Source organism: Homo sapiens, chromosome 11, assembly GCF_000001405.40.
Source record: "Homo sapiens chromosome 11, GRCh38.p14 Primary Assembly".
NCBI classification, from domain to species: Eukaryota; Metazoa; Chordata; class Mammalia; order Primates; family Hominidae; genus Homo; species Homo sapiens.
Window position 1 is genome coordinate 16,623,347 of NC_000011.10, and position 26,286 is coordinate 16,649,632.

The following is a 26,286-nucleotide window of genomic DNA, read 5'->3' on the forward strand; positions in this document are numbered from 1 at the left end:
GGCCATTTGTATGTCTTCTTTGGAGAATTGTCTATTCATGTCCTTAGGGCACTTTTTTATGGGATTTTTTTTTCTTGCTAATTTGTTTGAATTCCTTGTAGATTCTGGATATTAGTCCTTTGTCAGATGTATAGATTGTGAAGATTTTCTCCCACTCAGTGGGTTGTCTGTTTACCCCACTGATTGTGTTTTTTGTTGTGCAGAAGCTTTCGAGTTTAATTAAGTCCCATCTATTTATCTTTGTTTTTGTCGCATTTGCTTTTGGTTTCTTGGTCATGAACTCTTTACATAAACCAGTGTCTAGAAGGGTTTTTCTGATGTCATCTTCTAGAATTTTTACAGTTTCACGTCTTAGATTTAAGTCTTTGATCCATCTTGAGTTGATTTTTGTATAAGGTGAGAGATGAGGATCCAAATTCATTCTTCTACATGTGGCTTGCCAGTTATCCCAGCACCAATTGTTGACTTGCCACCACTATCTATATGAAGTCTCCATGTCTATATTGGTCTGTTTCTTGCCTTTGTGTTCTGATTTATTAATCTATTTTATAAAACTATACATCTATATAAACCCAAACTATCAAGATATCGAAGATTTCCATCATCCCAAAAAGATATCTCCTGCCCCTTCTCAGTCAACACCTACCCCTTCGGAGGCAATCATCATTGTGATTGCTATCACAGTAGATTAGTTTTGCCTATTCTTGTTCATTACAAATTCTTGTTCTTCATATAAATTCATTATGTACTCTTGAATATAGCTTTGTTTACTCAACAGAATGTTTTGAATTTCATCCATGCTGTCATGCATTTCAGTGAAAGATTTTTATTTTTTTATTTTATTTATTTATTTATTTATTGAGATGGAGTCTTGCTCTGTTGCCAGGCTGGAGTGCAGTGGCATGATCTCAACTCACTGCAATCTCTGCCTTCCGGGTTTGAACGATTCTCCTGCCTCAGCCTCCCAAGTAGCTGGGACTACAAGTGCGTGCCACCACCCCCAGCTAATTTTTGTGTTTTTAGTAGAGATGGGGTTTCACCATGTTGGCCAGGATGATCTCGATCTCTTGACCTCACGATCTGCCTCCCAAAGTGCTGGGATTACAGGCATGAGCCACCGTGCCCGGCCCATTTTTAATTTTGAGTAGTATCCCATTCTATGTATATATGACCATTTATTTATCAGCCTGCATTGATGAACATTTGAATTGTTTCCAGTTTTGGCTAATATGAATAAAACTGCTATAAACATTCTTGTACAAATGTTTTTGTAAACATGTTTTCTCAGGTAAAAATCTTAGAGTGGAATTTCTAGATTTTAATTAGATTTATGTTTAACTTTACAAGTTGCCAAACCAATTTCCAAAGTGGTCATATCATTTTATATTCCCACCAGCAATGTATGAGAATTTCAATTGCCTCGCATTTTACCTATATTTGATATTGTCCAGTTTGTTTGGTCAGTTTTTTAAAAATATTAGCCATTCTAGAGGATGTGTTTTAGTTTTAATTCTCCAGACACTAATGACATTGAGCACTTTTTCATATATTTATTAACTATTTGTGTATAATACTTTTTGAGATGCCTATTCAAGGTCTTTGATCTTTTTTTGGTGGGGGGAGGGTTGATTGTCTAATTTTATTGAGTTGTAGAATTGCTTATAATTCTGAATACAAGACCTTTGCCAGACATGTTTTTGCAAATATTTTCTCCATGGCTGTGACTCCTCTATTCATTCTCTTAACAATGTATTTTGATGAGTAGATGTTTTTAATTTTGATAAAGTCCACATTATTAGTTTTTTTCTTTTATCACTAGTTTTCTAGGTCCTGTCTAAAAAACAAATTCCATTATCTTGTATTGATGTTGCAAGATTGCAAAAGTAGCCTCTTATGTTTTCATCTAGAGATTTTATAGTTTTATCTTTCACATAAAAGACTTTACATTAAAGTCCCTAGCCATCTTTAATTAATTTTTTTGTATAGTGTGATGTACGAGTGTGAAATAAGATGAAATCCGTATATTGGTCTCTGCCCCCAGTTCCTGATACAGGGCTCCTAAAGCCCTCTTGTAATTTCTTAAGAGGTAGGAGTGCTAGGAGCATCTTTTGTTCTAATACTTCATCTTTAACCTTGGTTCCTAACAACAGAGTTCCTAAACCGCTTGACGTTTTCTGTGTGAGAGGAGCATCTTTTGTTCTAACAAGGTGACTCCTGATGGGCTCCTGGATTGAGACTGCTCACCAGAAATACCAAGCCATGATTAGAAGCTTTGAAATTTTAGTCCTATACCCCTTCCTCTGGGGAAGGAATGGGGGATAGGAATTGAATTAATAGTTCATCATGCCTATGTAGTGAAGCCTTCCCAAAAATCCCTAAAAGATTGGGTTTGGAGAACTTCCAGATTGGTAAACACATGAAGGTGCTCAGAGGGTGGCACCCTTAAGAGGGCGTAAGAGCTCCACACCCTTTCCCTGTGCATCTTTTCCATCTGGCTATTTCTAAGTTGTATGGTTTTATAATAAACCAGTAATCTAGTAAGTAAACTATTTTCCTGAGTTCTGTGAGCCATTCTAGAAAATTATTGAACCAAAGGATGGGGTTGTGGGAACTTCTGATTTACAGCAGGCTGGTCAGAGGAGCACAAATGCAACCTGGATTTACAACTGGTGTCTGAGGTGGTGGCAGTTTTTTGGGATTGAACTCTTAACCTATGGAAGCTGATATAATCTCTAGGTAGATCATCTCATAACTGAATTACATGCTAGGACACCCACTCAATGTCTGCTGAAAAGTGGAGAATTGCTTGGTGTGGGAAAAATAAAACCCACACATCTGGTGTCAGAAGTGAGCTATTCAGAGTAGACATAGAGTAGTGATGGAAACAGGAGTTTTACTTCCAACAGGCGAAGCTCATTTTTTTTCCCCATACAGATAGCCAGTTGTTCTGACAGCATTTTTTAGACTATCATTTTCTTTGGAATTGCTTTGGCACTTTGGTTGAAAATCAATTGACAACATAAATGTGGATCTATTTCTGAACCCTCTATTCTGTTCCAGTTGCCTGTCTACACATAAATACTACACTGTCTTGATTACCATAACATTACACTAAGTCTTGAAGTCAGAAAGTTTAAGTCCTCCAAATTTATTCTTTTTGGTTGTTGTTATTTTAGGACACTTTCAATTACATATAAATTTTAGAATCAGCTTGTCAACTTTTACCCTCAAAAAAGCCTGCTGGGATTTTTATTGGGATTTTATTTAATCTATAGATAAATTTTGAGAAAATTGATATTTAACACCACCAACTTTTTCAGTCTGTGAAAATAGCGTGTCTCTCCAGTTAGATCATCTTTAAATTTTCTCAGCAATGTTCTGTATATTCAATGCAGAGGTCTTAATCATATTTCATTAAATATATCCCTATGTATTTTATGTCTGGATGTTATTATAACAGTATTTTTTAAATTTATTTTTTCCAACTTTTATTTTGGATTCAGGAGATACATGTGCAGGTGTGTTACCTGGGCATACTGCGTGATGCTGAGGTTTGGGGTACAAATTATCCCATCACCCAGGCAGTGAACATAATACCCAATAGTTTTTCAACCCATTCCCACCTCCCTCCCGTCTCACATTAGTAGTCCCAGTTTCTATTACTGGAATCTTTATGTACATGTGTACTCAATATTTAACTCCCACTTATTAGTGAGAACAGGTGGTATTTGGTTTTCTATTCCTGTGTTAATTCGCTTAGGATAATGACCTCCAGCTACATCCATGTTGCTGCAAAGGACATGATTGCATTCTTTTTTATGGCTACATAGTATTCTATGTTGTATACATACCACATTTTCTTTATCCAGTCCACCGTTGATGGGCACCTAGATTGGTTACATGTCTTTGTTATTGTGAACAGTGCTACAGTGAAGATGCAAGTGCTTGTGTCTTTTTGGTAGAATAACTTGTTTTCTTTTAGATGTACACCAAGTATTGGGATAGCTGGGTTGAATCATACTTCTAAGTTCTTTGAGAAATCTCCAAACTGCTCTTCACAATAGCTGAACTAATTTACATCTCCACCAACAACGTATAAGCCTCGCCAGCATTTGTTGTTTTCTAACTTTTTAATAATAGCCATTCCAACTTGTATGAGATGATATCTCATTGTGGTTTTAATTTGCATTTCTCTGATGATCACTGATGTGGAGCATTTTTTCACGTTTTTTGGCCACTTGTATGCCTTCTTTTGAGAAGTGTCTGTTCACGTCTTTTCCCCATTTTTAAGGGGGTTATTTGTGTTTTCCTTGTTCAATTGTTTAAGCTCCTTCTGGATTCTGGATATTAGACATTTGTTGGATGCATAGTTTGCAAATATTTTCTCCCATTCTGTGGGCTGTCTGTTTACTCTGTTGATAGTTTATTTTGCATGCAGAAGCTCTTCAGTTTAATTACGTCCCAATTGTTAATTTTTGTTTTTGTTGCAATTGCTTTTGAGGACTTAGTCATAAATTCTTTAGCAAGGCTGAAGTCCAGAATGGTGTTTCCTAGGTTTTCTTCTAGGTTTCTTGTACTTTAGGGTCTTATATTTAAATATTTAATCCATCTTGAGTTAATTTTTATATATGGTGAAAGGTATAGGTTTAGTTTCATTCTGCATATGACTAGCCAGCTATCCCAGAATCACTTATTGAATAGGGAGTCCTTTCCCCATTGCTTATTTTTGTCAATTTTGTCAAAGATCAGATGGTTGTAGGTATGTGGCTTTATTTCTGAGTTCTCTATTTTGTTCCATTGGTCTATGAATCTGTTTTTATGGCAGTTCCATGCTGTTTTGGTTACTGTAGCCTTATAGTATGGTTGGAAGTCAGGTAATGTGATGCCTCCAGCTTTGTTCTTTTTTCTTAAGATTGCTTTGGCTACTTGGGCTCTTTTCTGGTTCCATATGAACTTTAAAATAGTCTTTTCTAGTTCCGTGAAAAATGACATTGGGGCCGGGCATGGTTGCTCACGCCTGCAATCCCAGCACTTTAGGAGGCCGAGGTGGGTGGATCACTTGAGGTCAGGAGGTGGAGACCAGCCTGGCCAATATGGTGAAACCACATCTCTACTAAAAATACAAAAAAATTAGCTGGGTATGGTGGTATACACCAGTAGTCGCAGCTACTTGGAAGGCTGAGGAAGAATCTCTTGAACCCAGGAGGCGGAGGTTGCAGTGAGCCGAGATCACACCACTGCACTCCAGCCTAGGCGACAGCAAGACTCCATCTCAAAAAAAAAAAAAAAGAAAGAAAAGAAAAGAAAAATGACATTGGTATTTTGATAGGGATTGCAATGAATCTGAATCTGTAGGTTGCTTTGAGCAGTATGGCCATTTTAACGATATTGATTCTTCCAATGCATGAGCATGAAATGTTTTTCCATTTGTGTCATCTATGATTTCTTTTAGCAGTGTTTTGTATTTCTCCTTGTAGAGCTCCTTCACCTCCTTGGTTAGATATATTCCTAGATATTTCCTGGATATGACTACTGTAAGTGGCTCTCAGCTTGAACATTATTGGTGTATAGAAATGATGCTGATTTTTGTATGTTGATTTTGTATCCTGAAACTTTACTGAAGTTGTTTATCAGTTCCAAGAGCCTTTTGCCAGAGTCTTCAGGCTTTTCTAAGTATAGAATCATATAATCTGTGAAAAGAGTTTGACTTCTTCTTTTCCTATTTGGTTGACTTTCATTTCTGTCTCTTGCCTGACTGCTCTGGCTAACACTTCCAGTACTGTGTTGAATAGGAGTGGTATAACAGTGGGCATCCTTGTCTTATTCCAGTTCTCAAGGGGAATGCTTTTAGTTTTTGCCATTCCAGCATGACATTGGCTGTGGTGCGTAATAGATGGGTCTTTTTATTTTGAGGTATGTTCCTTCGATGCCTAGTTTCTTGAGAATTTTTACCACGAAGCGATGTTGGATTTTATCAAAAGCTTTTTCCACATCTATTGAGATGATAATATAGTTTTTGTTTTTAACTCTGTTTATGTGGTGAATCACATTTATTAATTTGTGTCTGTTGAACAAACCTTGCATTTGAGAAATGAAACCTTTTTATCGTGGTGAATTAACTTTTTGATGTACTGTTGGGTTTGGTTTGCTATTATTTTCTTGAAGACTTTTGTGTCTATACTCACCAGGAATATTGGCTCATTGTTTTATTTTTTCATTGTGACTTTGCCAGGTTTGGGTATCAGAGTGATGCTTACTTCATAGAATGAGATAGGAAGGAGTCCTTCCTCCTCCATTTTTGGGGATAGTTTTAGTAGAATTGATACCAGCTCTTCTTTGTGCATCTAGTAGAATTTAGCTGTGAATCCATCCAGCTGAGGCTTTTTGTTTTTGGTTGGTAGGCTTTTTATTACTGATTCTAATTCAGAACTCAATCTTGGTCTGTTCAGGGTTTCAGTTGCTTCGTTATTCAATCATGGGAGGTTGTGTGTTTCTGGTAATTTATCAATTTCCTCTAGATTTGATAGTTTGTGTGCATAGAGATGTTCATAATATTTTCTATGGATATTTTGTATTTATGTGGGATCAGTTGTAATGTCACCTTTTGTCATTTCTGATGGAGTTTATGTGAATCTTTTTTTTCTTTGTTAATCTAGCTAATGGTCTATCAATTTTATCTTTTCAAATAACCAGCTCTTAGTTTGTTGATTCTTTGTATGGATTTTTGGGTCTCAATTTCATTCAGTTTCACTCAGATTTTAATTATTTCTTTTCTTCTGCTAGCTTTGGGGTTAGTTTGTTCTTGTTTTTCTAGTTCCTGTAGGTATAATGTTAGATCATTAATTTGATATCTTGCTAACTTTTTGAGGTAGGCAATTACCACTATAAACTTTCCTTTCAACATTGCTTTTACTGCATCCCAGAGATTTTGGTATGTTATGTGTCTGTTTTCATTTTTTTCAAATAATGTGTTTATTTCTGCCTTAATTTCATTGTTTACCCAAAAGTCATCCAGGGGTAAGTTGTTTCATTTCCTTATAAGTGTGTGTTTTTGAGGGATCTTCTTGGTATTCACATCTATTTTTATTCCACTGTGGTCTGAGAGTATAGTTGGTATAATTTTGATTTTTTTTAATTTATTGAGACTTGCTTTATGGTCAAGCATGTGGTTGATCTTGGAGTATGTTCTACATGCAGATGAGAAGACTGTATACTCTGTGGTTGATGGGTGGATTGTTCTGTAGATGTCTATTAGGTCCAGTTGGTCAAGTGACAAGTTTAAGTCTAAAATTTGTTAGTTTTCTGCCTCAGTGCTGTCTAATGCTGACAGTCAGGGTGTTGAAGTTCCCCACTATTATTGTGTAACTGTCTAAGTCTTTTCATAGGTCTAGAAGTACTTGTTTTATGAATCTGAGTGCTCCACCATTGGATGTGTTATATGTAGGACAGTTAAGTCTTCTTGTTGAATTGAACCCTTTATCATTATATAATGCCTTTCTTTGTCTTTTTTTACTATGGTTGGCTTGAAGTCTGTTTTATCTGATGTAAGAACAGTGATCCCTATTCTTTATTGTTTTCCATGTGCATGACAGACCTTTCTCTAACCCTCTACTTTGAGCCTATGGATGTTGTTATGTGTGAGATGGGTGTCTTCAAGACAGCAGACAGATGAGTCTTGTTTTCTAATCCAAACTTTCCACTCTGTGCCTTTTAAGTGGGGGGTTTAAAGTATTTACATTCAAGGCTAATATTGATATGTGAGGTTTGATCCTATCATAAGGTTGTTACTTTGTTGCTTTGTAGTTTCTATTGCGTGGTTGCTTTATAAGGTCTTTAGGCTATGTACCTAAGTGTGTTTTGGTGGTAGATGGTATCATTCTTTTGTATGCATGTTTAAAACTCCCTTAAGGATCTCCCGTAAGGTTGGTCTAATGATAACAAATTCACTTAGTGTTAGCTTGTCTGGAAAATATTTTTTATTTCTCTTTCACTTATAAAGCCTACTTTGACAGGACATGAAATTCTTGGTTGGAATTTCTTTCCTTTAAGAATGCTGAAAATAGGCCCCCAACTTCTTCTGGCTTGTAAAGTTTCTACTGAAAAGTCCACTGTTAGCCTGATGGGATTCCCTTTGTACATGACCTTTCTCTAGTTGCCTTTAAGATTTTTTCTTTAGCATTGACCTTGGACAGTCTGGTGACAATATGCCTTGGTAAAGTTCACTTTGTATAGTATTAGGCAGGTGTTCTCTGGATTTCTTGGATCTGGATGTCTACCTCTCTAGCAAGATTAGGGAAATTTTCTTAAATAATTCCCTCAAATATATATTCCAGATTGTTTACTTTTTCTCTTTATCTCTCAGAAATGCCAATAATTCATAGGTTTGGTTGCTTTACATAATTCCATATTTCTTGAAGACTTTGTACATTTTTTTTAAATTCTTTTTCTTTATTTTTGTCTAACTGGGTTAGTTACAAAGACTGGTCTTCAAGCTCTGAAATTATTTCTTCTTCTTGGTCCAGTTTATTGATAAAGATTTCAATTGTATTTCAAAATTCTTTAAGTGAGTTTTTCAATTGCAGAAGCTCTGATTTATTTTTTAAAGACACTTATCTCTTCCTTCGTTTCTAGGATTGCTTGAGAAGTTTATTTGCATTGACTTTCAACCTTGTCTTGGATCTCATTGAGCTTCCTTGCAATCCATGCTTTGAATTCTTTATCTGTCATTTCTGAGTTTCCATTTTGGTTAGGGTCCATTGCTAGAGAGCTAATGTGATCCTTTAGTGGTGTCATTACATTCAGATTTTTCATGGTGCCAAAATTCTTCCTTTGGTTCCTTCTCATCTGGAGACACTGACACTTCTAATTTTTGTAATTATTTTCATGTGGGTAGGATTTTTTCTTTTTCTCTTTTTCCCTACATTACTGGGGGTTTTTTCTTTCCCTTTCCCCCAAGGTCTGCTGGCTTTGCTTCTAAAGTCCCATGCACTTCTTTGGGCAGGTTTTGTATTGGACTGTGCAGTTTGACCTACAAGCCAGTAGATGGCACTTATCAATAACAGTCAGCTTTTAGCTTGTCTGGAAAATATTTTTTTTCCACACAGCTGGGTACATACTTCCTCCTTGTTTACTGGCCGAAGCTCTCTGTTGCCTCAGGCACTGGACTGATTCCTGCGCAGTGGTCTGAGCTTCCTGCTCAGCCCTGGGGCAGGGTGAAGGGGCCACTATGGGCAGGGTCAGACTGGGCAGGTCTCTGCCTAAAGGTCCCCGGAGGGCAGGCACAAGCACCAGCACTGAGGGAGAATCGAATAGGTGAGCACCAAGCACTCAGACGTCTGCCTAAGCATGGAGCAAAGCAACCTCCTCGGCCCTCTTTGGCACAGGAATGGGGTGCAGCCTAAATTCCTAATCCAAAAGAGTGAGTGGTCCAGATGTCCGGAGATCTGCCTAGGCGTGGAGTGGAGAGGGACCCCCTGCACCAAGATTTCTGCACAGGAGGAGCGGAGTGGCTCAGGCTTCTGAACCAGGCAAGCAGATCCTCTGAATGCCTGAGGATCTGCCTGGGCATACAGCAGAGAGGGCTTCCCTGCACCAGGATCTCTGCACAGGAAGGGTAGGGTTGCTCAGGCTGTTGATCCAAGTGAGCTGGTGCTCCAAATTCCTGGGGATCTGCCTGGGCATGAAGTGGAGAGGGCCTCCCTGTACCAGGATCTCTGCACAGGAAAGCTGGGATGGGTAGGGTCAAGCTGCTGAACCAGGAGAACAGGTGCTCCAAATGCCTGGATATCCACCTGGACATGGAGTTGAGAGGGCCCTGCCACACCATGATCTAAATAGTATTTTTAATACTGTAATTTGTTGTTTTCTAATATTTATTCAGAATTTTCCCATCAAACTGCATAAGTGACACTGAGCACAGTTTTTTACTTCCTGGAACTAACTTATTCATTTTATTGTCAATGCTATGCTACCTGCAAAATTAAATTAAATTTCTGGATGTATGTTCCTCTCTTTATATATTCTCTGAAACAGTTTAAAATCAGAATTACTGCCACTTCCAGTATGGGGAAGTAAACTCGTAACAGGACCTTAACCTTCCACAGAAAACAACTATAAATTCTGACAAAATGCAAAAAACAACTACCTGAGAGCTCTGAAGAATAAATAAAAGCAGAGTTGAAACTTGAAAGAAGCTGTGGGTGTAAGTGAGTTTCCCACTTTGTGTGGCTTTGTCTTGAAGGCAGCCACAGACCCAGAGCAGCATGGAACAGCTAAAACTTCAATAGAAAGCACAGTGTCTTTATAGCTGGGAAAAGCAAGGGAAAGAGTCAAGGTAATCAGGGCCACCAGAGAGTAAGGAAAGAATCCTGAATAGGAGACTGTCAGGGAACAGGAACTCCAAATTCCATATATAACTCTTGCCTAAGTCTCTGGCATATATGGGGCCGACTAAAATCAACCAGAAATGACAGTTGAGCTGTTCCCAATCAAAGGCAAGAGAAACTTCTCAGTTTAAATCTAACCAAGCTAATTGCCTTATAAAATAAAAACATCAGCTTCATTTGTAGGACTATAAAATAATCTAAAAGCTAAGCAACATGATATCATAATGATCAAGATTCAATCTACAATTTCTTGACATGAAGAATCAGGAAAATGTGATTCATTTTCTAGAGAAAAGATGATCAACAAACACCAATCCCAAAATGAACCAGATGCTGAAATTATCAGACAAGAACTTTAAAGCTGCTATTATAAATATGCTTAATGAAATAAAAGAAAATATGTTCATAATCAATGAAAAAGTAGCAAATCTAAGCAGAGAAATAGGAAATACAAAAGGAAAAAAGAGAAACTTAGGACTGGAAAATAAAAAATCTAACATAAAGTTCATTATATGAACATAGTAAAATAAAGGTGATGGAGGGAAAAGTCTGTGAATTTGTAGATCAATAAAAGCAATTAGAAGAAAAGAGAAGAAAAAAATGGAAGAAAAAAAAAACAGTGCCTTAGGAATTTGCATGGCAATATCAAAAGATCCAACATGAAAGCTGGAGTCTCAGAAAGAGGAGAAAGAGAGAATGGGGAAATAAGAATATTTGATAAAATAATGGTCAAAAGATTCTCAAATTTGGTGAAAAATAGAAATTATTTGTTCCTCACATATAAAACTGAGCTTAGAATTTATTTTAATTTATTGTATTATTTGAATGTAGCTTACTAGGTTTTATTTAATCAAGTCTATTGATTTAGTGGGTACTGATTATTAAGGTTTTTTATGTTTCAGTAAATTTAGTAGCTTACATTTTTCTAGAAAATTTCTATTTTATCTAACTTTTCAAATTATTTTTAGTTTTCCATTGTAATGTTTAAATTTTTCTATTTTATCTCTAATTGATATGGTTTGGCTGTATCTCCACCCAAATCTGATCTTGAACTGTAGTTCCCATAATCCCCATGTGTCGTGGGAGGGACCCAGTGAGGGGTAATCGAATCACGGGGGCAGTTACCTCCATGCTGTTCTCATAATAGTCAGTGAGTTCTCACGAGTTCTGATGGTTTTATAAGGGTTTTTTCCCACCCTTCACTCTGCACTTCTCCTTGCTGCAACCATGTGAAAAAGAAGATGTTTGCTTCCCCTTCTGACATGATTGTTAGTTTCCTGAGGCCTCCTCTGCCCTGCAGAACTGTGAGTCAATTAAACATTTTTCCTTTATAAATTACCCAGTCTTGGGTATGTCCTTATAGCACCGTGAGAATGGACTAATACAGTAAATTGGTACCAGGTAGTGGGGCACTGCTGTAAAGATACTCAAAAACGTGGAAGCAACTTCGAAACTGGGTAACAGGCAGAGGTTAGAACAATTTCGAGGGTTCAGAAGAAGATAGGAAAATGTGAGAAACTCTGGAGGTTCCTAGAGACTTGTTGAATGGCTTTGACCAAAATGCTGATAGTGATATGGACAATAAAGTCCAGGCTGAGGTGGCCTCAGATGGAGATGAGGAACTTGTTGGGAACTGGAGCAAAGGTAACTCTTGCTGTGCAAAGACAGAGTGGTGGCATTTTGCCCCTGCCATAGAGATCTGTGGAACTTTGGACTTGAGAGAGATGACTTAGTGTATCCGGCAGAAGAAATTTTTAAGCCACAAAGCATTCAGGGTGACAGAGCATTAAAGTGTGGAAAATATGCAGTCTGATGATGCAGTAGAAAACAAAGACCTGTTTTCTGGGGGAGAAATTCAAGCCAGCTACAGAAATCTGCATAAGTAAGAAGGAGCCAAATGCTAATCACCAAGACAATGCAGAAAATCAGACACTTCACAGCTGCCCCTCCCATCACAGGCCCAGAAGCCTAGGAGGGAAAAATGGTTTCCTGGGTGAGGTCCAGGGCCCCCCTCTTGTGTGCAGCCTCTGGACTTGGTGTCCTGAATCCCAGCCACTCCAGCTGTGGCTAAAAGGAGTTCAGGCCATTGCTTCAGAGCATGCAAGCCCCAAGCCTTGGAAGCTTCCACATGGTGTTGGTCCTGTGGGTGTGCAGAAACAAGAATTGAGGTTTGGGAACCTCTGTCTAGATTTCAGAAAATGTATAGAAATGGCTAGATGTCCAAGCAGAGGTGTGGTCCTGGGGTGGAGCCCTCATGGAGAGCCTCTGCTAGGGCAGCGCAGAAGGGAAATGTGGGGTCAGAGCCCCCACACAGAGTCCCCAATGGGGCACTGCCTAGTGGTGCTGTGAGAGGAAGGCCACCATCCTCCAGACTTCAGAATGGTAAACCCACTGACAGCTTGCACCATACTCCTAGAAAACCCACAGACATTCAATACCAGTCATGAAAGCAGCTGGGAGGGGGGCTGTGCCCTGCAAAGCTACAGGGTCAGAGCTGCCCAAGGTCATGGAAGTCCACCTCTTACATCAGCAATACCTGGATGTGAGGCATGGAGTCAAAAGAGATCATTTTGGAGCTTTAAGATTTGACTGTCCCACCGGATTTCAGACTTGCATGGTGCCTGTAGCCTCTTCGTTTTGGTCAATTTCTCCCATTAGGAATGGCTGTATTTACCCACTGCCTGTACCCTCATTGCATCTAGGAAGTAAGTAACTTGCTTTTGATTTTACAGGCTCATAGGTAGAAGGGACTTGCCTTGTCTCAAATAAGACTTTGGACTTGGACTTTTGAGTTAATGCTGGAATGAGTTAAGATTTTGGGGGACTGTTGGGAAGGCATGATTGTATTTTGAAATGTGAGGACATGAGATATGGGAGGGCCCGGGGCAAAATGATATGGATTGGCTCTGTCCCCCTACCCCAAATTTCATCTTAAACTGTAGTTCCCATAATCCCCATTTGTTGTGGGAGGGACCTGGTGGGAGGCAATTGAATCATGGGGGCAGTTGCCTCCATGATGTTCTCATGATAGTGAATTCTCACATGATCTGATGGTTTTATAAGGGAGTTTTCCCACCCTTCATTCTGCACATCCTTGCTGCTGCCATGTGAAGAAGGACATGTTTGCTTCCCCTTCTGCCATGAGTGTAAGTTTCCTGAGGCCTACCCAGCTCCACAGAACTTTGAGTCAATTAAACCTCTTTCCTTTATAAATTGCCCAGTCTTGGGTATGTCCCTATAGCAGCCTGAGAACAGAATAATAGACTAATTATGTCCCCTTTTCCTCTGCTAGTGTTTAATGGTGTCTTCATTATTTTTGTTGTTGATTAGTCTCTCTAGAAATTGGCCTATTTTTTTTTGAAACAACAAGCTTTTGGATTCTTGATCTCTACTGTTTCTTCCTTACTTTCCCATTCATTTATATTCTTAATTTATTTCAAGTTCTTTTTTAGATTTACTATTCTTCTTATTCCAGCTTCTTCAGCCAAATACTTATCTTTTTATTTTGAGATGCAGTCTTGCTCTATCGCCCAGGCTGGAGTGCAGTGGTGTGATCTCAGCTCACTGCACCCTCCACCTGCTGGGTTCCAACGATTCTCCTGCCTCAGCCTCCTGAGTACCTGGGACTACAGGCGTGCACTACCATGCCCAGCTAATTTTTGTATTTTTGGTAGAGATGGGGTTTCACCATGTTGGCCAGGCTGGTCTTGAACTCCTGACCTTGAGATCTGCCCGCCTCAGCCTCCCAAAGTGCTGGGATTACAGGCATGAGCCACCACACCCAGCTTTTCAATAGTTTCAAAATAAATTTATTAAACTATAAATTTCCCCAAATAACTGCTTTAGTTAGATCCCAAAAACACTGGATGTTGATTAGGGTAAATGATTGAACTACTATAATAAACAGAATGCAATAGACAATGGATCGAATAAGATGCCTTATTTCCTTCTCATCTAAGAATGAGGGTGGGTATTCCAAGGTCACGGATATGTCTGGATCCTAAGCTAATGAAGCCTTGGCCATCCTTAAAATATATTTCTCAAGGTCGCTTTGGTCACCATCATTCCAGCAAGCAGGGAAAGGTACAGTGTGCAGGAATATGTGTGCAACGTTTTATAGGCAAGGCCTGGAAGGAAAAATGTTTTTTCCATTCACATTTTTTTGGACATAGGGTCTCATTCTTTTTTTTTTTTTTTATACTTTAAGTTCTAGGGTACATGTGCACAATGTGCAGGTTTCTTGCATATGTATACATGTGCCATGTTGGTGTGCTGCACCCATTAAATCGTCATTTACATTAGGTATATCTCCTAATGCTATCCCTCCCCCCACCCCTCAACAGGCCCTGGTGTGTGATGTTCCCCTTCCTGTGTCCAAGTGTTCTCATTGTTCAATTCCCACCTATAACTGAGAACATGCGGTGTTTGGTTTTTTGTCCTTGCGATAGTTTGCTGAGAATGATGGTTTCCAGCTTCACCCATCTCCCTACAAAGGACATGAACTCATCATTTTTTATGGCTGCATAGTATTCCATGGTGTATATGTGCCACATTTTCTTAATCCAGTCTATCATTGTTGGACATTTGGGTTGGTTCCAATTCTTTGCTACTGTGAATAGTGCCGCAATAAACATATGTGTGCATGTGTCTTTATAGCAGCATGATTTATAATCCTTTGGGTATATACCAAAGGATTATACCCAGTAATGGGATGGCTGGGTCAAATGGTATTTCTAGTTCTAGATCCCTGAGGAATCACCACACTGACTTCCACAATGATTGAGCTAGTTTACAGTCCCACCAACAGGGTAAAAGTGTTCCTATTTCTCCACATCCTCTCCAGCACCTGTTGTTTCCTGACTTTTTAATGATCACCATTCTAACTGGTCTGAGATGGTATCTCATTGTGGGTTTGATATGCATTTCTCTGATGGCCAGTGATGATGAGCATTTTTTCATGTGTCTTTTGGCTGCATAAATGTCTTCTTTTGAGAAGTGTCTGTTCATATCTTTCACCCACTTGTTGATGAGGTTGTTTGTTTTTTTCTTATAAATTTGTTTAAGTTCTTTGTAGATTCTTGATATTAGCCCTTTGTCAGATGAGTAGATTGCAAAAATTTTCTCCCATTCTGTAGGTTACCTGTTCACTCTGATGGTAGTTTCTTTTCCTGTGCAGAAGCTCTTTAGTTTAATTAGATCCCATTTGTCAATTTTGGCTTTTGTTGCCATTGCTTTTGGTGTTTTAGACATGAAGTCCTTGCCCATGCCTACATCCTGAATGGTATTGCCTACGTTTTCTTCTAGGGTTTTTATGGTTTTAGGTCTAACATTTAAGTCTTTAATCCATCTTAATTTTTGTATAAGGTGTAAGGAAGGGATCCAGTTTCAGCTTTCTACATATGGCTAGCCAGTTTTCCCAGCACCATTTGTTAAATAGGGAATCCTTTCCCCATTTCTTGTTTTTGTCAGGTTTGTCAAAGATCAGATAGTTGTAGATGTGTGGCATTATTTCTGAGGGCTCTGTTCTGTTCCATTGGTATATATCTCTGTTTTGGTACCAGTACCATGATGTTTTAGTTACTGTAGCCTTGTAGTATAGTTTGAAGTCAGGTAGCATGATGCCTCTAGCTTTGTTCTTTTGGCTTAGGATTGACTTGGCAATGCGGGATCTTTTTTGGTTCCTTACGAACTTTAAAGTAGTTTTTTCCAATTCTGTGAAGAAAGTCGTTGGTAGCTTGATGGGGATGGCATTGAATCTATAAATTACCTTGGGCAGTATGGCCATTTTCACGATATTGATTCTTCCTACCCATGAGCATGGAGTGTTCTTCCAGTTGTTTGTATCCTCTTTTATTTCGTTGAGCAGTAATTTGTAGTTCTCCTTGAAGAGGTCCTTCACATCCGTTTTAAGTTGGATTCCTAGGTATTTTATTCTCTTTGAAGCAATTGTGAATGGGTGTTCACTCATGATTTGGCTTTCTGTTTGTCTTTTATTGGTGTATGCTTATGATTTTTGCACATTGATTTTGTATCCTGAGACTTTGCTGAAGTTGCTTATCAGCTTAAGGAGATTTTGGGCTGAGACGATAGGGTTTTCTAGATATACAATCATGTCATCTGCAAACAGGGACAATTTGACTTCCTCTTTTCCTAATTGAATACCCTTTATTTCCTTCTCCTGCCTGATTGCCCTGGCCAGAACTTCCAACACTATGTTGAATAGGAGTGGTGAGAGAGGGCATCCCTGTCTTGTGCCAGTTTTCAAAGGGAATGCTTCCAGTTTTTGCCCATTCAGTGTGATACTGGCTGTGGGTTTGTCATAAATAGCTCTTATTATTTTGAGATACGTCCCATCAATACCTAATTTATTGAGAGTTTTTAGTATGAAGGGCTGTTGAATTTTGTCAAAGGCCTTTTCTGCATCTATAGAGATTATCATGTGGTTTTTGTCTTTGGTTCTGTTTATACGCTGGATTACATTTATTGATTTGCGTATTTTGAACCAGCCTTGCATCCCAGGGATAAAGCCCACTGGATCATGGTGGATAAGCTTTTTGATGTGCTGCTGGATTCGGTTTGCCAGTATTTTACTGAGGATTTTTGCATCGATGTTCATCAGGGATATTGGTCTAAAATTCTCTTTTTTTGTTGTGTCTCTGCCAGGCTTTGCTATCAGGATGACGCTGGCCTTATAAAATGAGTTAGGGAGGATTCCCTCTTTTTCTATTGATTGGAATAGTTTCAGAAGGAATGGTACCAGCTCCTCCTTGTACCTCTGGTAGAATTCAGCTGTGAATCCATCTGGTCCTGGACTTTTTTTGGTTGGTAAGCTATTAATTATAGCCTCAATTTCAGATCCTGTTATTGGTCTAGTCAGAGATTCAACTTCTTCCTGGTTTAGTCTTGGGAGGGCGTATGTGTCGAGGAATTTATCCATTTCTTCTAGATTTTCTAGTTAATTTGCGTAGAGGTGTTTATAGTATTCTCTGATGGTAGTTTGTATTTCTGTGGGATCGGTGGTGATATTCTCTTTATCATTTTTTATTACATCTATTTAATTCTTCTCTCTTTTCTTCTTTATTAGTCTGGCTAGTGGTATATCAATTTTGTTGATCTTTTCAAAAAATCAGCTCCTGGATTCATTGATTTTTTAAGGGTTTTTTGTGTCTCTATCTCCTTCAGCTCTTCTCTGATCTTAGTTATTTCTTGCCTTCTGCTAGCTTTTGAATTTGTTTGTTCTTGCTTCTCTAGTTCTTTTAAGTGTGATGTTAGGTTGTCCATTTTAGATCTTTCCTGCTTTCTCTTGTGGGCATTTAGTGCTATAAATTTCCCTCTACACACTGCTTTAAATGTGTCCCAGAGATTCTGGTATGCTGTGTCTTTGTTCTTGTTGGTTTCGAAGAATATCTTTATTTCTGCCTTCATTTCGTTATGTACCCAGTAGTCATTCAGGAGCAGGTGTTCAGTTTCCATGTAGTTAAGCAGTTTTGAGTGAGTTTCTTAATCCTGAGTTCTAGTTTGATTGCACTGTGGTCTGAGAGACAGTTTGTTTTAATTTCTGTTCTTTTGCATTTGCCGAGGAGTGCTTTACTTCCAACTATGTGGTCAGTTTTGGAATAAGTGCGGTGTGGTGCTGAGAAGAATGTATATGTTGATTTGGGGTGGAGAGTTCTGTAGATGTCTATTAGGTCCACTTGGTGCAGAGCTGAGTTCAATTCCTGGATATCCTTGTTAACTTTCTGTCTCATTGATCTGTCTAATGTTGACAGTGGGGTGTTAAAGTCTCTCGTTATTATTGTGTGGGAGTCTAAGTCTCTTTATAGGTCTCTAAGGACTTGCTTTATGAATCTGGGTGCTCCTGTATTGGGTGCATATATACTTAGGATAGTTAGCTCTTCTTGTTGAATTGGTCCCTTTACCATTATGTAATGGCCTTCTTTGTCTCTTTTGATCTTTGTTGGTTTAAAGTCTGTTTTATCAGAGACTAAGATTGCAACCCCTGCCTTTTTTTGTTTTCCATTTGCTTGGTACATCTTCCTCCATCCCTTTATTTTGAGCCTATGTGTGTCTCTGCACATGAGATGGGTTTCCTGAATACAGCACACTGATGGGTCTTGACTCTTTATCCAATTTGCCAGTCTGTGTCTTTTAATTGGAGCATTTAGCCCATTTACACTTAAGGTTAATATTGTTATGTGTGAATTTGTTCCTGACATTATGATGTTAGCTGGTTATTTTGCTCGTTAGTTGATGCAGTTTCTTCCTAGCCTCGATGGTCTTTACAATTTAGCATGTTTTTGCAGTGGCTGGTACTGGTTGTTCCTTTCCATGTTTAGTGCTTCCTTCAGGAGCTCTTTTAGGGCAGGCCTGGTGGTGACAAAATCTCTCAGCATTTGCTTGTCTGTAAAGTATTTTATTTCTCTTTCACTTATGAAGCTTAGTTTGGCTGGATATGAAATTCTGGGTTGAAAATTCTTTTCTTTAAGAATGTTGAATATTGGCCCCCACTCTCTTCTGGCTTGTAGAGCTTCTGCCGAGAGACCTGCTGTTAGTCTGATGGACTTCCCTTTGTGGGTAACCCAGGGTAACCCAGCCTTTCTCTGTGGCTGCCCTTAACATTTTTTCCTTCATTTCAACTTTGGTGAATCTGACAATTATGTGTCTTGGAGTTGCTCTTCTTGAGGAGTATCTTTGTGGTGTTCTCTGTATTTCCTGAATTTGAATGTTGGCCTGCCTTGCTAGATTGGAGACGTTCTCGTGGATAATATCCTGCAGTGTTTTCCAACTTGGTTCCATTCTCCCCGTCACTTTCAGGTACACCAATCAGACGTAGATTTGGTCTTTTCACATAGCCCATATTTCTTGGAGGCTTTGTTCATTTCTTTTTAGTCTTTTTTCTCTAAATTTCTCTTCTCGCTTCATTTCATTCTTTTGATCTTCCATCACTGATACCCTTTCTTCCAGTTGATTGAATTGGCTATTGAAGCATGTGCATTTGTCACATAGTTCTCATGCCATGGTTTTCAGCTCTATCAGGTCCTTTAAGGGCTTCTCTACATTGGTTATTCTAGTTAGCCATTCATCTAATCTTTTTTCAAGGTTTTTAACTTCTTTGCCATGGGTTCGAACTTCCTCCTTTAGCTCAGAGAAGTTTGATCGTCTGAAGCCTTCTTCTCTGAACTCATCAAAGTCATTCTCTGTCCAGCTTTGTTCCATTGCTGGTGAGGAGGTGCGTTCCTTTGGAGGAGAAGAGGTGCTCTGATTTTTAGAAGTTTCAGTTTTTCTGCTCTGTTTTTTCCCCATCGTTGTGGTTTTATCTACCTTTGGTCTTTGATGATGGTGACGTACAGATGGGGTTTTGGTGTGGATGTCCTTTCTGTTTGTTAGTTTTCCTTCTAACAGTCAGGATCCTCAGCTGCAGGTCTGTTGGGGTTTGCTGGAGGTCCACTCCAGACCCTGTTGGCCTGGGTGTCAGCAGCGGAGGCTGCAGAACAGCGAAGATTGGTGAACAGCAAATGTTGCTGCCTGATCCTTCCTCTGGAAGTTTTGTCTCAGAGGGGTACCCAGCCATGTGAGGTGTCAGTCTGCCCCTACTGGGGGGTGCCTCCCAGTTAGGCTACTCAGGGGTCAGGGACCCACTTGAGGAGGCAGTCTGTCCATTCTCAGATCTCAAGCTGTGTGCTGGGAGAACCACCACTGTCTTCCAAGCTGCCAGACAGGGACATTTAAGTCTGCAGAGGTTTCTGCTGCCTTTTGTTTGGCTATGCCCTGCCCCCAGAGGTGGAGTCTACAGAGGCAGGCAGGCCTCCTTGACCTGTGGTGGGTTCCACCCAGTTCAAGCTTCCCAGCCGCTTTGTTTACCTACTCAAGCCTCAGCAATGGCAGGCACCCCTCCCCCAGCCTCGCTGCCACCTTGCAGTTTGATCTCAGACTGCTGTGCTAGCAATGAGTGAGGCTCCATGGGCATAGGACCCTCCGAGCCAGGCGCAGAATATAATCTCCTGGTGTGCCGTTTGCTAAGACCGTTGGAAAAGAGCAGTATTAGGGTGGGAGTGACCTGATTTTCCAGGTGCCATCTGTCTAGCCCTTGGCTAGGAAAGGGAATTTCCTGAACCCTTGCACTTCCTGGGTGAGGCAATGCCTTGCCCTGCTTCAGCTCACACTCGGTGCACTGCACCCACTGTCCTGCACCCACTGTCTGACACTCCCCAGTGAGATGAACCCAGTACCTCAGTTGGAAATGCAGAAATCATCCATCTTCTGCATCGCTCATGCTGGGAGCTGTAGACTGGAGCTGTTCCTATTCGGCCATCTTGGAACCACCACTGACATAGGGTCTCATTCTGTCACCCAGGCTGGAGTGCAATGGTACAATCATGGCTCACTGCAGCCTCAACCTCCCAGGCTCAAGCAATCCTCCCACCTCGGCCTCCCAAGTAGCTGGGACCCCCAGCATGTGCCACCACACCTGCTAATTTTTCTATTTTTTATAGACACAGGGTTTCACCTTGTTGCCCATGCTGGTCTCAAACTCCAGAGCTCAAGATATCCGCCTGCCTCAGCCTCTCAAAGTGCTGGGATTACATATCACCCACCATACCTGGCCCATTTCCAGTCACAATCTTTTGATATAAATCAAGTTATATAACCACACCTAGCAACAAAGTAGGCTGAAAATTTAGTCTTTGGTGAGACAACCCTATTATAGCCCTATTACAATAAACAGGAAAATTTTTGCAGCAGTCTCTACCACATGTATCTTCACTGATGTTCATATCTGTAATTCCTATTAAAATTTCTTTTTTATTTCATGAATTATTGACAAGTGCATTCATTTCATTCCAAGGTTATTGGGGGGGTAGAGATTTAAACTATTATTGACTCATAAGTTAATGACACTGTGTTAATTCTACTGTGTATAATATTCTCTGAAATTTTTGTAATATTATATAATCAATTGTCTTGAAAACTCCACAGATACTTGAAAAGACTATATATTCTCTGTTTGTTGGGTGTAGGAGTCCATAGTATCTATAGATCAAACTTGTTAATTGTATTGTTCAAATCTTTTATATGCTTTCTAAATTTTATTCACTTGGTCTATCAGCCCACAATATGCCTGCTCACTTTTCATTGGCAAAATTTTGTCACATTGTCTAGGATAAAGTCAATGGGGGCAGAGGAGTATACTGTAGCTGAATGTATTTCCTAGAGACCATTTTAATCCAATCAGAGGGTTTAACAAAAGATGTGATTGATATACTACTTTTAATTACGTCTTTTCCCTAAGGATGTATCTTAATTTGGGGCTCTTTCAGCCTTCATGTATCGGGAATATTTCTCAACACATTTAATTGGTTGGACATGAGAAATATTCATTCGTCATCCTTACAATCACAGATTTCCTGGATTCTGTTTTCCTTTTCATCCCAGCTTTCAATCAAATTTTTTTTCTGTATTTTATCAAATGCCACTAATAACAACCAATTCAAGCTGGCAACATACTGTCTCCAAATCTCTTTGCACAAATCGCAAGTTCACTTGGTATATTTTCTGCTTTACCCGTTGTTTCACCACTACAAAACATGTCCATGTTTACAGGTTCCTAGAATAGTTTTTTACCACCTGCATCTTGGTCACCACATATTTCGGGTTTTTATTACATGAACATCCAATTTCTAGATATCAATTTATGTATTAGTGTTATGGGTTGAATTGTTGTCCCCCCACTGAAAAAAATCTGTTGAAGGCTAAACATAAAGACCTCAGAATATGACCTTATTTGGAAACAGGGTGATTGCAGATGTAATGAGTTAAGATGATGTCATACCAGAGCAGGGTGGGTCCTTAATCCAATATGACTAGTGTTCTCATAACAAAATGGCCACATGAGAACACAGACATACAGAGAGAATGCCATATGGCAACAAAGGCAGAGATTGGGAATTATGCAGCTGCAAGCCAAGAAACACCAAAGATTTCTAACAAACCAGCAGAAGCTAAGAAGAGGCAAGGAAGGATTCCACCAGGTTTCAGGTGGAGACTGGCCCTCTAACACCTTGATTTCAGACCTCTGGTCTCTAGAACTGTGAGAATAAAATTCTGTTGTTTTAAACCATCCAGTTTGTGGTACTTTGTTACAGCAGCCCTAGAAAACAAATATACTTAGTGAACAAGTGTTACAGTAAAGCTGAATTTATTTAAAAAAAAAACAAACTCAATGGCTTAAAAAAATAAATGTTATCTTATTCTCACAGATCTGTGTGTTGGCTGTGACTCTGTTGGGCTCTACTGGACTTGGCTGGGCTCAGCTTCAGACTTGAGGTCATGTTCAGATGTTCTCCAAGTACCTTTTCATTCTGGGTTCCAGGCTGAATTAACAGCCTCACCTGGGACAAGGTGTTTTTATGACAGAGAGAAAAAGCACAAGAGTTCAAGACAAATCACACAAACATATTTAAAGCCTCTGCTCAGATGTGGCATTGGATACATCCCCATAAACTCTACTGGCAAAACAAAGACACACAGACTTGTGGCAAAGCTCTAAGTCAATGGCGAAGAGAAGCACTGGCCTTCAGGTAAGTGTGGGAAGGTGAGAAAGGTATAAATAACAACTAATATAATATGTTGTGTTTATTCTATTTATATTTACTGTGATTACTCATATGTGTTGCTATTTATATCATCTAATTTTGTGTCTTAGGTTTATCATCCTTTCGTAAGTTTTTTTATTTTCTTTGTTTTTTTTTTTTATTTCCATAGGTTTTTGGGGAACATGTGGTATTTGGTTACTTGAGTAAGTTCTTTAATGGTGATTTGTGAGATTCTGGTGTACCCATCATCTGAGGAGTATACACTGAACCCAATTTGTAGTCTTTTATCCCTGACTCACTCCCACCCTTTCCCCTGAGTCCCACAGCCCATTGTATAATTCTTATGCCTTTGCATCCTCATAGCTTAGCTCCCACTTATGAATGAGAACATATGATGTTTGGTTTTCCATTCCTCAGTTACTTCACTTAGAATAATAGTCTCCAGTTCCATCCAGGTTGCTGTGAATGGGCATTTGGCTGGTTCCAGATTTTTGCAATTGCCAATCATGCTGCTATAAACATGCATGTGCAAGTATCTTTTTTGTATAATGACTTATTTTTCTCTGGGCAGATACCCAGTAGTGGGATTGCTGGACGAAATGGTAGTTCTACCTTTACTTCTTTAAGGAACCTCCACACTGTTTTCCATAGTAGTTGTACTAGTTTACATTCCCAGCAGCAGTGTATAAGTGTTCCCTTCTCACTGCATCCACACCAACATTTATTATTTTTTTATTTTTGATTATAGTCATTCTTGCAGAAGTAAGGTAGTATTGCATTGTGGTTTTGATTTGCATTTGTGGATATTAGTCCTTTGTCAGATGTATAGATTGTGAGGCTTTTCACCCACTCTGTGAATTGTCTGTTTACTCTGCTCCCTGTTCCTTTTGCTGTGCAGAAGCTCTTTAGTTTTATCCTCCTTTCCTATCTTCTTGAGACTGATATGATTTCTATGCCCCTCCCCCTTTCCCTCTCTGCTAATTTGAATGCTATAGATAGTATGTCCATTTATTTAATGGTTACCCTTAATGTTGTTTAATATACTTGACTATAAATATTACAAAAATATCTAAAGGTATTCAGTATATATATCCCCCTCCTTAAATAGCATGATCCTTGTCATGCTTTACCCAATAAAAGGCAACTTCTGGAGAAGCGGGAAAGATGGCATATAGGAGACAGGGCTAACGTGCAGCTCCCACATGGACAAACAAAACAGTGTGTGGAGACTCACACCCTGATCTTTTGCTCCAAGAACCACAGAAGAAATGTACTAGAAAAACCAAAAGAATTCACAGACTCTTTGAAAGAAGTGACATGCTGCTGTAAGTTCCATGAAACAGGTGGAAAACTGTGAGTTCCCAAAGTGTGAGACAGGGGACCTACCTCTGAACCCACATCCCCACTGGGGACTCTTAAAATTCAAATCACAGGAGAAGGACTTAACCTTATCTAGAGATAAAATGGATTCAGGAAGTCATGAAAAATATAAAAATAGAAGTAGCAGCAGGAAGTGCCTTGCATGCACTCCCAATCCCCAGCTTGAGCCCAGGGAAGCCATCCCTGACTATATCTTACAGGGACCCTTGGGGAAGGCAGCCAGTGGAATTGTGGGGGAGGGGCTCACAGGGTGAAGGAAGTTTCCAACTGAAATTGGTAGTAGGTTCAACTGGGCACAAATTTTCTTGAGCAGAGTCTGAGGGACGAGTGGGAGTGGCTGTGGATATGAGTGAGTGCAGGAGTGTAGGAGCTGCTGCAGACAGAGTAGGCAGACTGGAAAGGGTGAGGTCTGAAAGCCAGGTTGTTTCTTAGCAGGGTAGCTCATGGCCTGGGGTAAGGTTTCAGCATGGCACCATGGAGCAAGACTAGCCTTTCCAACTATGTGGGAGCTAGCTGAGGCCACTTGCTACCACTATCCCCCACTTGCCTGGACACAGCAAAGGCAGCCATAATTCCCTCTAGAACATAACCCCATTTACCAGAGAATCACCCCCCAACCCTCACAGTGGCCATGGCAGGCCCCACCCAAGGAGAGTCTGAGCCCAGACCCACCTAATCCTGCCCCCACCTGATGGTATTTCCCTACCCACCCTGGTAGCCAAACACAAAACAGAAACTCCTGGGAGCCCATCACCTGAGAAACCAAAATACTTACCCTGGACATGTTAGGGCAAGCTTAGAGCCCCCTACCACTACAGCAGCTAGTGTTCTCTTGAAACTGCCACCTTCTGGCTGGAGGCCAACCAGCTCAGGCCATTACAACAACTCATTACAGAATAACCCTGATCCCAGGAAGAAGATAATACCAATTCCACTGCCTATAACATCCTGAAATAGTCTACCCAAATGAGAAGGAACTAGAAAAGTACTTCTGGTAATATGACAAAATAGGGTTCTATACCACCCCCAAAAGATCCCCAGCAATAAATCCAAACCAAGAAGAAATCTCTGAATTGCCAAATAAAGAATTCAGAAGGTTGATTACTAAGCTACTCAAGGAGATACCAAAGAAAGGTGAAAACAAACTTAAAAATTATATTTAAAAAATACAGAATATGGATGAAAAATTCTCCAGAGAAATAGATATCAAAAAGAAAAAATAATCACAACTTCTGGAAATGAAAGACACACTTAGAGAAATACAAAATGCCTGGAAAGTTTCAACAATAGACTAGAACAAGTAGAAGAAAGAACTTCAGAGCTCAAAGACAAGACTTTTGAATTAACCCAATCAGACGGAGACAAAGAAAAAAGAAGGAAAAAAAAAGAACAAAGCCTCCAAAATATTTGGGATTATCTTAAATGACCAAACCTAAGAATAATTGGTATTCCTGGAGAAGAAAATAAATCTAGAAGTTTGGAAAACTTATTTGAGGGAATAATTGAGGAAAACTTCCCTGGCCCTGCTAGCAATCTAGACATCCAAACACAAAAAGCTCAAAGAACACCTGGGAAATTCATTGCAGAAAGATCATCACCTAGGCATATATTCATCAGACTATCTAAAGTCAAGACAGACAAAACGATCTTAAGAGCTGTCAGACAAAAGCATCAGGTGGACTACAGAGGAAAACCTATCAGATTAACAGAAGACTTCTCAGCAGAAACCTTACAAAGCCAGAAAGAATTGAGGTCCCACATTTAGCCTCCTGAGACAAAATAATTGTCAACCAAGAATTTTGTATCCAGCAAAACTAAGCTTCATGAATGAAGATGAGATAAAGCCTTCTTCAGACAAACAAATGCTGAGAGAATTTGCCACTACTAAGCCAGCACTACAAGAAATCCCAAAAGGAGTTCTAAATCTT

The 26,286-nt window shown here is 39.5% G+C and overlaps 1 protein-coding gene and 1 long non-coding RNA gene across 3 annotated transcripts in view; one reads left to right on the forward strand and one right to left on the reverse strand.

Moving 5' to 3' along the window:
* The window catches only part of SOX6 (SRY-box transcription factor 6), a 772,029-nt gene that overhangs the window by 656,898 nt on the left and 88,845 nt on the right, over positions 1-26,286 (reverse strand). The window lies entirely within an intron of this gene.
* Positions 1-26,286, forward strand: part of LOC105376571 (uncharacterized) — a 42,807-nt gene that overhangs the window by 10,543 nt on the left and 5,978 nt on the right. For both annotated transcript variants that reach the window (XR_931086.3, XR_931085.3), the window contains one exon: positions 22,643-22,963. This is a non-coding gene — a long non-coding RNA (uncharacterized LOC105376571). The remainder of the gene's footprint in view (positions 1-22,642; positions 22,964-26,286) is intronic.